At 39.2% G+C, this 13246-nt stretch overlaps 1 protein-coding gene across 6 annotated transcripts in view; it reads left to right on the top strand.

Annotated features, from left to right (window-relative positions):
* The window catches only part of CEMIP2 (cell migration inducing hyaluronidase 2), an 86101-nt gene that overhangs the window by 49536 nt on the left and 23319 nt on the right, over window positions 1-13246 (top strand). For all 6 annotated transcript variants that reach the window (XM_047423136.1, XM_005251869.5, NM_001135820.2 and 3 more), the window contains 5 exons: window positions 1852-1983; window positions 3379-3414; window positions 4842-4997; window positions 7671-7848; window positions 10457-10672. In XM_047423136.1, coding sequence (XP_047279092.1) covers window positions 1852-1983; window positions 3379-3414; window positions 4842-4997; window positions 7671-7848; window positions 10457-10672 — 718 coding nt within the window. The remainder of the gene's footprint in view (window positions 1-1851; window positions 1984-3378; window positions 3415-4841; window positions 4998-7670; window positions 7849-10456; window positions 10673-13246) is intronic.

Genomic DNA, 13246 nt, shown 5'->3' with positions numbered 1-13246 from the left:
ATATTGATAGGAAGTTCAGAGAAGTTGAGATGGTTACAGCAGAGAATCAGATGCTGCCTTATAGTACTCTTTTTTTTTTTTTTTTTTTGCTTTCGTTTAGAACAGTATGTCTCCGTTCCGGAACTCTTCCATCTGCTTACTATTATGTAATGACTACAAAGCTGTTTGGCAGGAACTACAATGCCAGAGAGTAGATGTTGGCTTAGAGTCAAACTTTTTACCTCTTAAGTCAGAGCTAGTTAGGGTAAAGGGACTTGGGCCATATAATCTAAAGATGGATATGACACTCTTTATCTTCGCAGCTACTACCCCAGTTTATACCACACATGCATCTGTCTGAAACACATGAAGATCCTTCTGACTGGTCTCCTTAGAGTCCATTCTCTATAATCCATTCTCCAAATAGCAATCAGTGATCTCTTAAAAGAACAAAAAAGAAATTTGATCACATCCCTTCCTTGATTCCATGCTTCCATTGACTTCCCATTGCATTTCCAATGGAGACCCAGATCTTTACCTAGCCCTTGCCCTCCTCTCTATTCTGTCTCCCTTGCTTCTTTCTCTCCAGCAAACTTCCTTGCTGTTCCTGAACATGCTAAGCTCACTCATGCCTAAGGACATTTGCACTTGCTATTTTCTCTCGATAGCTGCCTCTGCCATCATATCCATTTAGTGAGCACCTACTGTGTGCCAACAGCTGTGGTATTAGCATTAGGCAAATGATGTTTCCTCACTGGTTGAAAATCTCTACCTGTTGAATTGGTTTCTGAAAAGCTGTGATTTCTTTTTTTCTTCCGTTCGTTTTGTAAGATTAAGACAGAAATGATTAAAAAAAAATAGGTGGCCTTATGGGGCCATTTGAGTATTTGAATATCATGTATTTGAGTATTTGAGCATCATGGGGCCGTTTGACTATTTGAGTTGTTATAGTGGACAGTTTTTGACACCAACTGTTTTTACCTTTTCAGTAAGGTCCTTATAACTGTTTTAGAGAGAAGAAAAAGAAAAGGTGAAGTTCAGTATTTATAATAAATATGTTAATTAAATACAGTCTGGCTGGGTGCGGTGGCTCACACTTATAATCTCAGCACTTTGGGAGGCTGAGGTGGGTGGATCACCTGAGGTCAGGAGTTCGAGACCAGCCTGGCCAACATGGGGAGACCTTGTCTCTGCTAAAAATACAAAACTTAGGTGGGTGTGGCGATGGATGCCTGTAATCCCAGCTACTCAGAAGGCTGAAGCAGGAGAAATGCTTGAACCCGGGAAGCAGAGGTTGCAGTGAGCCAAGATTGCGCCACTGCACTCCAGCCTGGGTGACAGAGTGAGACTCTGTCTCAAAAAAAGAAAATATTAAAAAATACAGTCTATTTTAAATTTAGGCATTTTAATGATATTGAACCCAGTTTTGTCTATATCTAAACATTTAACCAGCATACAACTCAAATTATACTCTAGTTCACATATATGTATGTTGAAATATATTATTAATTTATTAAATAAGTTTATATTGGTAACATGTACCTTAAGGATTTGTAAACACACATGACATACTTCCTGATCTGGGTTTTTTTGGAAATGATTTTTATGCAATAATATTCTGCAGTGTCCATTTTAATTGATTTTTCAAAAACAAACTAAGAAGATGTAAAAGCAGTTGGTTCTCTGGAAACTTGTGGTTAAATAAATGTAATTTCTTCTTTGAATGTTTAAAATGTAAGTAAGTTGTATCTTAAGAATTTTTCATTTGTTTTGGTCAAATTTAAATTCTGCTTCTTGACACTTAAACTTATAACTAGCTAATTCCTATGGCTTTTATGTTATATTTTTTAAAATTCTTTTTTTAACCCCTAGATTTCGACCTCATCAGGATGCAAACCCCGAAAAACCACGTGTTGCTGCTCTAATTGACAGGCTCATTGCTTTTAAAAATAATGATAATGGAGCTTGGGTCAGAGGAGGAGATATTATCGTTCAAAATTCAGCGTGGGTATTCTCTACCAAGTTATTATATGATGACACTGATGTATTATTTTTCAGATTTTTTTTAAAGCCAGTAGCATGAAAGCACAGTGATGATTCTTGGAATCATATTATTATTATTAAGACAGGACAAGCTCTGAGGAAGTATGCTAGAGTTAAAAGACCACAAATGTTTGAAGTTGTCTCATTCTGGTGCTTTTATTGGAACAGAACTTATCCGGTGACATGAGAGTTTTTGATGAAATTGAACAGAAACCGGGAATTTAACTTTATATAACAAGCATGGTCTATGTCAGAGCGCTAAATAAAACTACCTGGATCTTTTCCCTTCCTCTTGAAAACTCCTTAGTTTTTCTGATGCTCTTCTATTGCCATTCAAAATAAAAGCTTTATAATTCCAACTCAGTAAATCTGTTGACTTATATCTTAACATGACTTGAGGCAGTAAGTATCTCACTTTTTTTCCCATTTGTATAATTTTAGGAGTGGTCTCATGCATGTTGAGCTAAGATTTAGTGTTCAACAGTCTAGAAAAATGTGTGTGTGTATTTTTTTTTCTGGCACTGAAATTAGCTTCTTGGCATTTCACATCATTTCTGAGTTTTTTCATCCAAAAAACTGATACTGTGTTGAATCTGTAGAAATGGCTTCAGAATCATATACCACAGTCTAGTTGTTTTTAAAACATAGTTATAAAAATAATAATTATAGCTAATACTTTGATACACTGCTTACTGTTTGCCAGGCACTGTTCCTAACATTAGAAATTATTATTTTTTGAGACAGGGTCTTGCCCTGTCACCCAGGCTAGAGTTCAGTGGTGCAATCATAGCTCACTGCAGCCTCAACTTTCTATGCTCAAGCAAACCTCTCACCTTAGCCTCCCGAGTAGCTGGGACCACAGGCATGTGCCACAACGCCCTGCTAACTTTTAAATTTTTTGTGGAGACAGAGTGTCCCTGTGTTGCCCATGCTGGTCTTGACTTCCTGGGCTCAAGCGATTCTCCTGCCTCAGCCTCCCAAAGTGTTGGGATTACAGGCATGAGCCACCATACCTTGCCAACACTAGAAATTATTTAGTATGTTTAATACTCTCAAGAATCCTATGAGGAAGGTTATATTTTCATTTCAACTTACAGATGGGAAAAGTGAGAGATAGAGGTTGAGTAGGTTGCCAAAAGTCACACAGCTAATAATTGACAAAGCCCGGATTTGAACTGGGTGCCCTCACTGCAGATTCTGTGCTCCTAGTTATTGTGAAATCAAATTTTTGTGTGGTCATGTAGAGAGTAAATATTGGGACCTTTTGGATTTCATGATAATTAAATATTGAGAGAATTACCTCTTTTTACATAATATGGTAAATTAAAATGTTCTTCATTCTCTCTTCTTTTACAGATTTGCAGATAATGGAATAGGACTGACCTTTGCCAGGTTTGTAATTGCTTAAAAATACTTACTTATTTTAAAGCTTTAAAATAACCCTTGATTTTTTTTTCTGATAATACACAGGAATGTTTTATTATTTTTTTTAACATAAAAAAAATTAGCAACCTCTTCCTGATGCCACTAGAGGGCCAAAAATACATTTTTTTTTTTCTGGATTAATTGAATTCATAGCAAAGTACTAGGTTAATATAGCTGGAATTTCACAGAAGGATAATTTCTGCTTAGAAGAAAACACTTGCGATTTAGACTAAAGTTTTTAAAAAGTAGGGGAAAAAAGAGGAAGGGAGTAAAAGTAGGGAGAAAATTAAAAAACTAATATTTGCTTTCTTAGAAGCTGCTCTAATTTAGCAAGTTTAGTTCTTTAAGAACTAAACTTTTTGTTCTGTATGTTTTTCTACAGATAATAGTCATTCTAGTTGTCATGTTAAATATGCTTGTCATTTAATTCTTATATTCAGGACAAGTTTGTTCTCCTCATTCTCAGTGTTATTGCTTGAGACTAGAGCAATCAATTATTGCTGCTAAATTAAAGTTTGTTTATATATAATTTGTAAATCATTTATTAATTCATATGAGGGCTGGACATACCGGCTCACACCTGTAATCTCAGCAGTTTGGGAGGCCAAGACAGGAGGATCGCTCAAAGCCAGGAGTTTGAGACCAGCCTGAGCAACATAGCAAGACCCTGTCTCTACCAAAAATAAAAAAATTAACCTTAACCAGGCATAGTGGCATGCCTGTAATCTTAGCTACTCTGGAGGCTGAGATGGCAGTATCCTGTGAGCTCGAGTTCAAGGTTGCTGCTCCAGCCTGGCTGACAGAATGAGACCCTGTCTCTTTAAAAAAAAAAAAGTATATATATATATATATATATATCTTAAGAGGGATATATGTATGTATATATATATTAGGCTATAAGTAGGTATAGGTATTTTTATAGTTTAAAAGCAATTTCAAGGCTGAGTGTGATGGCTCATAACTATAATCCCAGCATTTTGGGAGGCTAAAACAGGATGATCACTTGAGGCCAAGAGTTTAAGACCAGCATGGGCCACATAGCAAGACCCCATCTCCACAAAAATTTTAAAAAATTATCTGGGCATGGTGGCACGCATGTGTGGTCCCAGCTACTTGGAAGGCTGAGGTGGGAGGATTGTTTGAGCCCAGCAGGTCAAGGCTGCAGTGAACCATGTTCTTGCCATTGTACTCGAGCATTGGGTGACAGAGCAAGAACCTGTCTCAAAAAAAAAAAAAAAAAAAAAAAGCAGTTTCTGAAGACTTGTGAATGTGTATTAGAAAAGCTATTGACTTCTTTTAAAACTTTTAGCTTTTCAGTTATAGCATGCCTACATTTGGGAATACATTTAAATTTTCTGGAGAAATGTAGCTAATGATTGTTCGCATTTTAACAGTGATGGAAGCTTCCCAAGTGATGAAGGTTCCAGCCAAGAGGTATCTGAATCTCTCTTTGTTGGGGAGAGCAGGAATTACGGCTTTCAGGGTGGTCAGAACAAGTATGTAGGCACTGGAGGAATAGACCAGAAGCCTCGAACATTACCCAGGAACAGGTAAGCATTGCTTTAGCTGTGGAGTGTTAAATTTAAGCAATAAAGGAAAACCTAACCCTCAGGGAAGTTTCTGTGATAATCCTGGATGGATTGGTTCCTACCATGAGACTCTTTTCCTATTTTATCATTTATTACTACTACTGCTACAGCTGCTACTGCTACTACTATTATAATTATTATGTGTATTATCCTCCTGAAATTTTGGAGCATTAGTTATTAAACATTTCATAGATTTAATTATCAATTTTATAACAAAGAAACTTGTCTTGTTTCTCATTCCTTGTATAAGACCTTATATAAACTGTTTTTTTTCTTCCTTCTTGAGCCATAGAAAGTTGCCAAACCCTAAACTATGACATTAGGTCAGTTTTTCCTCAATGTGTGTTGTTGGTTTTCAGAAATAACTACTGGAAAAAGGAAATTACCTACTGAAAAGAGTCCTAGGAAATGAGAGTTGATTGATGCCAAAGTTAACTCAAAACCCCACCACAGCTGTCTAATTAATGGCAGTTTAGATGTTGAAGGGAATGGGGTAGGCTCTTGGCATGTTTTCTGTCATCATCATCACAGAGTCATTAAAATTGTACTTAGCACGTCTTCAAAGCTTTAAGGAAACTATTAACTAATAATTCATATCTCAGTTCTGAGGCACAGTTTGGACTTCTCATTTTACTTGTGAGAAAACCAGGTAGAAAAATATTCAACAGTGTTTTTAGGCCTCACATCTGAGCCCATGTCATAATTCTTTAAGAATCAACTCCCCTAGAGGAGTGCTGTCGCAGAATGTTGGGCTAGAACAAGGCAGAGGAATGGGACATACAGACTGTAGCTTTGGGGAGTGGTGGCGCAGAGTGAGGACTCGGGGGAGAGCTGTACTATTTTCTGGAAAAAGGTCACCATGCTTGGCTTCTCACCCCTTGTGCTTGTTGTTGTGGAATATCGAGCACTGCTATGTGCTACACTCTGTGTGGAACTCGTGTTAGCCCATAGAAGCCATTGGGAAAAGAACTTCATGGATTTTTTAATTGCTAACATGTATTAAATGCTTATGATATGTCAGGCCCTGTTGTAAATATATTTATTTAATCCTCACAAAGCTCAATGAGATAGGTTCTGCCAGCATCCTGTTTTACAAATGAGTATCTTACTAAAGGTAGAGAAGGTGGAATTCAAACCCAGTTAGGTTGTCTTCAGTGCTGTGCTCTTCACAATTAGGCTCTTGCTGCTGTTTCTAAGGTGTAGATTTTTTAAAAAGCTGTATTGGTTGTCATATGGGCTGCAATGTGATGGTCGCCAAATCAATTTCACTCTGTATTTTATATTGACCTCCAGTTTTATTTCAAAATGCTTTTTGCTGTTTGGTAAGGAGGATTTTCCAAAATCAAACTTTCTCATTATTTAATGGAAACAGCTTTAATATGATCATATCTTTACAACTTGTATTAGTCCGTTTTCACACTGCTGATAAAGACATACCTGAGACTGGGCAATTTAAAATCAAAAGAAAGAGGTTTATTGGACTTGCAGTTCTACATGGCTGGGGAGGCCTCACAATCATGACAGAAGGCAATGAGAGCAAGTCACATCTTACCTGGATGGCAGCAGGCAAAAAGAGAGCTTGTGCTCTCTTTTTAAAACAGGGAAACTCCTGTTTTTAAAACCATCGGATATCGTGAGACCCATTCACTGTCATGAGAACAGCACGGAGAAGACCCGCCCCCGATTCAGTCATCTCCCGCTGGGTCCCTCCCACAACACGTGGGAATTATGGGAGCTACAAGATGTGATTTGGGTGGGGACACAGAGCCAGACCATATCACAACTTTTTCTACAGGGGAGAACCATGTTGAGATGTATACTTAGAAATATTAAATACATCATGATGCGAAGGTTTTCAAACTAGGCTATTTGGTTTTCTTGCTAGCATATATGCTTTTGCTGTAAAACATTGCCTAGTTGTAGAATAATTAGTTGCTATAGAGATCCTCTGCCATGCAATTAAAGAATTAATAGGAGAGGAACTTAAGGAATTCAGAATATTACCAGTTCCTATACATTAATTACAGTTATTGATTTATGATTAGTAGGCTAAGGAGTTTGTGTTTGAACAGAAAGGGGGAAAATGAATAAAACAAAATTCTCAGTCTAGCTAACCCTGTTGACATGGTAAGCCTTGAGGGCTCATGTTTTCACACTTTTAAATGTATCATTTCACCTTTGTACCATCATTTAGTGGCTTGAGAGGTGGTTCTCTGCCTAAGCGCAGACTTGTCTTTTGTTCTCATGGTTGGAGATTTGGAAACGAAGACCAAAGTACCTGAGGTTCCGAATAAAAGATCTTAACTGAGTTGATTCTAGGAAGACAAAGTCACCTCTTCAGAGAGGCCTCCATTCTGTCTAAAATAGCATCTTTCTCCCCACCCAATCTATGATAATGTTGTGTCTTATGGTCTCTATAGCACTTATTTTCTGAAATGATCCTTTGTTTTTCTGTTTGTCTTTCCCACTACAGCATATGTTTCATTCAATCAGGTATCTTGTTTTGGCTCCTACTGTATCCTAGAATTTTGCTTAGTTCATACCGGATATTTAGCTGTCTTCATAAAACAAGTAAGTGAAGTGCTGCTAAGGGGACAGCCCATATGCATTAAACAAAATCTTGTATTTCCACAGGACGTTCCCAATTAGAGGCTTTCAGATTTATGATGGGCCCATTCATCTCACAAGGAGCACTTTCAAAAAATATGTGCCAACTCCAGATAGGTACAGCAGTGCAATTGGCTTCCTCATGAAGAATTCCTGGCAGATAACCCCCAGGAATAATATCTCCCTCGTGAAGTTTGGTCCACATGTAAGTATGTTCTGTAGTTCTTACGTAGTGACTATGGTGAAAAAAGGAGGGATAGCACATTCCCAAAGACAAAAACGCAAAGGATTTGCACCGAGTCTGTACGAGTGGGAGGAGACATACACACAGAGCCAGCTCCTAATTCCATGCACTCTCTCCCATTGAGTTCAAGGGGAGAACAGAAGTCCCGTGTGACTCTGGGTATGTTTGACATTCAAGTCATACCTTGATAGGGAAAATGACTTCAAGTGATGATACAGAGGTTGTAGAGTTTCATAGGAACAAGAGGACATACGATTTTGGAAAATTCAGTGAAATACGCTGGTTGGGTAGCCCATTTCCACTAAGAGATTTGGATCCTTCCTGCTATTTTACTTGTCTGAGGGCTATTCTTCTGGGGGACTAGAGAATAAGAGGTTGTGAATAAAGCAGAATACTGTGGCAGTGTGATACAAATTAGGTTATTTCTTTTTTCTTTTCTTTTTTTTTTTCTTTGAGGCAGGGTCTCAGCCTGTCACCCAGGCTGCAGTGCACTGATGTGAACGGTGGCAAAGTCATGGCTCACTGCAGCTTCAACCTCAATTGGATGGATGGCTCAAGCCATCCTCCCACCTCAGCCCCCTAAGTAGCTGGGTATACAAGCATATGCCACCACATCTGGCTACTTAAAAAAAATTTTTTTTTTTTTTTAATAGAGAAAGGGCCTCATTAGCCTGGGCTGGTCTTTAACTCCTGGCCTCAAATGGTCCTCTCAGCTTGGCCTCCCAAAGTATTGGGAGTGTAGGTGTGAGCCACTGCATCTGGCTGAAATTGGGTTATTTCTGATATAAACTGTTGGAAGGTTTTTATGAAGATTGCAGATAGACTGTAAAAATTACCATTTACAGTACAGTAGCCCACAGGAATGGTTTTCTTACCAATTTCACCAGTATTACCTGTACCCATAACTCACAGGACAATCTGATTACATGCCCCCAGGCTTTCATCATCTTGCCAGTTCCATGGTGGCAATGGCACAAGACAGAGAAGTCTCAGGACATCTAGCTGCCTGTTCCCACAGGCAGCCACACCTGGGAAATAAGTCATCATTCTTTCATTCACATCCACCCACAAACTTAATAGTTGCCCAATTTAAAATAGAGCTTGATAGGTTTATCAAAGTCTATGTCTGGTTTTCTACAACAGCTTGGGTGTGGATCAGAGGCACAAGTACAAATTGGAGTGTCAGCTTGGTTGGCTGGTTCTTTTTTAGGCCATGTGACTCCAGGGGATGGGTAGGACTAGGCTGGTAGATGGCACCCACATAAATCAGCAGGATGAGTCTTGGATCCCCTGTCCAGTACGGAGACTTGCTGTTTCCTTACTGCCCATGTGGACCTCCCCGTAGTTCTCTATGCATCCTGTTTAGTGATCACTGGCATAGGCATACTGAAAAGCAGTTTGTTAGATACTGCATTTGTTGTCCTAAAGTTATAACAGCATAATACAATCCATATTGTTTAAGTCCAGCAGTTCATCCAGTCTGGAGTTTTCTATGGTGGGGATGCTCTGAAGCTTATAAAAGGAGCGGTTTGCAAAATTTGCTTTACTTAAAAGGGTGGAAAATATGCTCTAAGCTTTTCTCAGATTTAACCACGTAGGAAAAGAGAAGTGTGGAACCAAGAACTTGCCGCTACTTGTCCTAGACGTCACAGTTTTCCATTGAGTTGCTTATCATTTAGATGTTCTGTTGATTTAAAAACACACCAGGGCAAAAAGTGCATAAAAGCATTTAAGAGAGGTATCTGCCTGACTTCAATAGCGTTGGTATTATATAATTTACTGCTAATAAGAAGCAGCTAAAGACTGTAAAACATGTCACCTGCAGCCCATTTTGCAGCTGTACATTATGTGTTTGATAAAGGCTTTAAGTAAACTCTACTGGATGTGAAAATTGTTGAGCTGAGTTTGGTCTGTATTGAGGAGCGAGATAGTAATATAAGCTTTTTAGCAGATTCTAGTGAGTTTATCAATAACTCAGCCATACTAAGTCAACACTTAAATTGTGTTTCTGTTTTGACCTGTACTTATCTGTTTATTTTTTTGGTGGGGGGAGTCATATGAACAAGTAACTGAAGCATTTGGAGATAAAATGATTAACTAGCTCTGAAGATAACTTATCATAGATTTTTTATTTCATTGAGATATAATTTACATGTAGGGAAATGCACAGATCTTACATGTACAGTTTATAATTTTTAACAAATATATGTGACTGCATAGTCTCCCTTCCCACAACTCTTCTGCTTTCTCTCCCCACAAATGAGTTTTGTCTGGAGAACAGGTAATAGTTTTTAAGTGGGGAAAAGAAGAATACAAATAACGATGAAGTTTAACATTTGCCCATTAAACACCATAAGGTTTTGGGAAATTCCCCCCAACCCCAGCATGTCATTAATTGAGTAGAAAACTCAGGCTGACTTGAGTGCCATAGCTGACAACTATGAACTGTAACTCAGAACTGCTCTAACCTTAAAGCAATCACAATGGACCTGCAGTTGAGTCATTGCAGGGGATGCTGAGATAGCAGGAGCCCTCACTTTGTGATGTCTTTCTTTTTCACTGTGGTCAGGTCTCTCTGAATGTCTTTTTTGGAAAGCCTGGTCCCTGGTTTGAAGATTGTGAGATGGATGGTGATAAGAACTCCATATTCCATGACATTGATGGCTCTGTGACAGGATACAAGGATGCTTATGTGGGAAGAATGGACAACTACCTGATCCGCCATCCAAGCTGTGTAAATGTGTCTAAGTGGAATGCAGTGATCTGCAGTGGGACCTATGCACAGGTAGGCTTAGCAAATGTATAATGCTCAAGTTCCTACCAGCTCCTGCCAGCACTGCTTCTGTGAGAAGTACTCTTCAGCTTTTCAGTGTGATTGACATTTTCCAAAGTATGATCTATCTTCCTGTCCTGTCCTGTCCTTTCTTTTCTTTCTTTCGATTCATTAGGAGTCATGGACTCCTGGAATTTTTCTTAAAACTCCCCAACTCCAGATCTGTTTAAGAGGTGAAAGAGTGAGTCCCAGAGAGGAGAGCTGATTTACCCTGGGTTAAATGTGGTTGGAACGTAGTTGGGACAAGAACCCATGTTTCTTGACTCTTAGGTTTTCTTGCCACACTACAGCTATGCCCTCTAAGAGGGATTTTTATCCTTTGCTTTTGGGGTCAGTAATCTCTACTTAATGAAAGAATCTGACTTTTGAGGCAAAATATCAATAGGTCACATGAAAAGTGAGATGTTCCCGGGGACAGAGCTGGAGATTAGGAGTGAGTGGACAAGAAAGGAATCCAAGGAAAATTTCCTAATTCTATTATGATATAATGTCTATGAAAATATGGAGGAGATGATATACATTGAGAAACACCTCTTTGAAGACATTAAGCATTAATGTGTATTAACTTGATGCCTAGTATAAGAGGATGAACTAATTTGCAACGTAGTATATATGGTTAAGAGCACAGATTCTAGAGCTAGACTGCCTGGGTTTGAATTCTGGCTTTGTTATTTTCTAAAGTATGCATTGGAAAAGTTAATTAACTTCTCTATGTCGGTACACAATGGGGATAATAGTAGTTACTCTCATAGGAGGCTGTTGTGAAGATAGAGTACATGCACATATGTAAAGCATTTAGCATATGGCCTGGCACATAGTTCAGTGCCCGCTGCTCTTAGTATTATTTAAGGAGAAGAGCTGTAAGTTGCAAAGGTGATTTTAATAGTGACATTTTGGTGGATGGAAGAGATTGCAGAATGGAGGTACCAGCTGCCCAGGATTTTGAAAGGAGCAGATCCTGCCCCCACCCTCTGCCCCATGCAGACAATTAAAGGGTAGGAATTTTTATTTATTTATTTATTTTTGAGACGGAGTCTTGCTCTGTCGCCCAGGCTGGAGTGCAGTGGCGCAATCTTGGCTCACTGCAAGCTCCGCCTCCTGGGTTCACGCCATTCTCCTGCCTCAGCCTCCTGAGCAGCTGGACTACAGGCGCCCGCCACCATGCCCGGCTAGTTTTTTTGTATTTTTAATAGAGACGGGGTTTCACCGTGTTAGCCAGGATGGTCTTGATCTCCTGACCTCATGATCCGCCCACCTCGGCCTCCCAAAATGCTGGGATTACAGGCGTGAGCCACCGCGCCCGGCCAGGATTTAATAATAGACTGTCAGAGGAGATAAAGGAAATAGATGATCAGAACATGGAGACGAGAATTAGAGGAAGAGCAAGGGATTTTCCACATAGAATTGGGCTGTGATAGCCCTAAAGACAGGAAAGAAGCCCCTTTCTTTGATTTGCTGCTAGATGTTCTTTTCGTAGCATGGGCTCTTCCTGGGGAGGATCCGTGCTGTGCTATTTCCCCTCTACTGAGCTCTGCTCACTTTGCCGGTCAAAGGTGTGTTTTCGGGCTCCCGCTTGTCACTTCTCTGAGCCCCCTGAATTACATGTTGTTTCCACCACCTGAGCTTTCAATAATTGGAGCTTCTTGGATCAGAATTCTTCTTTGTTCTTCTGACTTTGAATTACGACAATTAAAGCAGGTGATTTTTAAATTTTAAAACTTAAAAAGTTTAGATCCTTATCTATAGACTAAACAAAGGGCTTAAGAGGAATAAAGACGGGAGAGACTTTCTGGTTTATTTTAGTGGGGGTATTAGCTTCTTTATTGCTATGGGATTTCTCATTTCCATGAGCAAAAATAAAAAATACTAAAAAAAAAAAGTAATACTTGCCTAAGTCCCAGAAGGGATGGAGAATTAACTACAGTAGAATAAAGAAGAAAGGAACATGGTTTATAATGTGATTTATTTTTTCCATTTATCTTATTCTTAATCAGAATTGCCTTCCCCAAATTAAGTTTACCCATCAATGCCTAGGAACTATAGACGTTCTAGAACTGAAACAAAACTAGAAAATAAAAACTAAGGCCGGGCATGGTGGCTCACGCCTGTAATCCCAGCACTTTGGGAGGTTGAGGCAGGTGGATCACCTGCGGTCTGGAGTTCGAGCCCAGCCTGGCCAACATGGTGAAACTTCATCTCTACTAAATAGAAAAAATTAGCCAGGCGTGGTGGTGGGCACGTGTAATCCCAGCTACTCGAGGGGACTGAGGCAGGAGAATCGCTTGAACCCAGGGGCAGAGTTTGCAGTGAGCTGAGATCATGCCATTGCACTCCAGCCTGGGCAACAAGAGCGAAACTCTGTCTCAAAAATAATAATAATAATAAATAAATAAATAATAAGCTTTTAGCCTTTTTGTAGCTACAGTTTTGGCTAAAGTTCTTGCCAGCCATGAGTATTCATGCATGTGTGCGTATATCTATCTGTCTGTCTTAAAGTGGCAGGTACACACTAATGAAAACTATATT

Source organism: Homo sapiens, chromosome 9 (genome assembly GCF_000001405.40).
Source record: "Homo sapiens chromosome 9, GRCh38.p14 Primary Assembly".
NCBI lineage: Eukaryota > Metazoa > Chordata > Mammalia > Primates > Hominidae > Homo > Homo sapiens.
The sequence above is the reverse complement of the archived record's forward strand: the minus strand, read 5'-3'. Positions and strand labels throughout refer to the sequence as shown.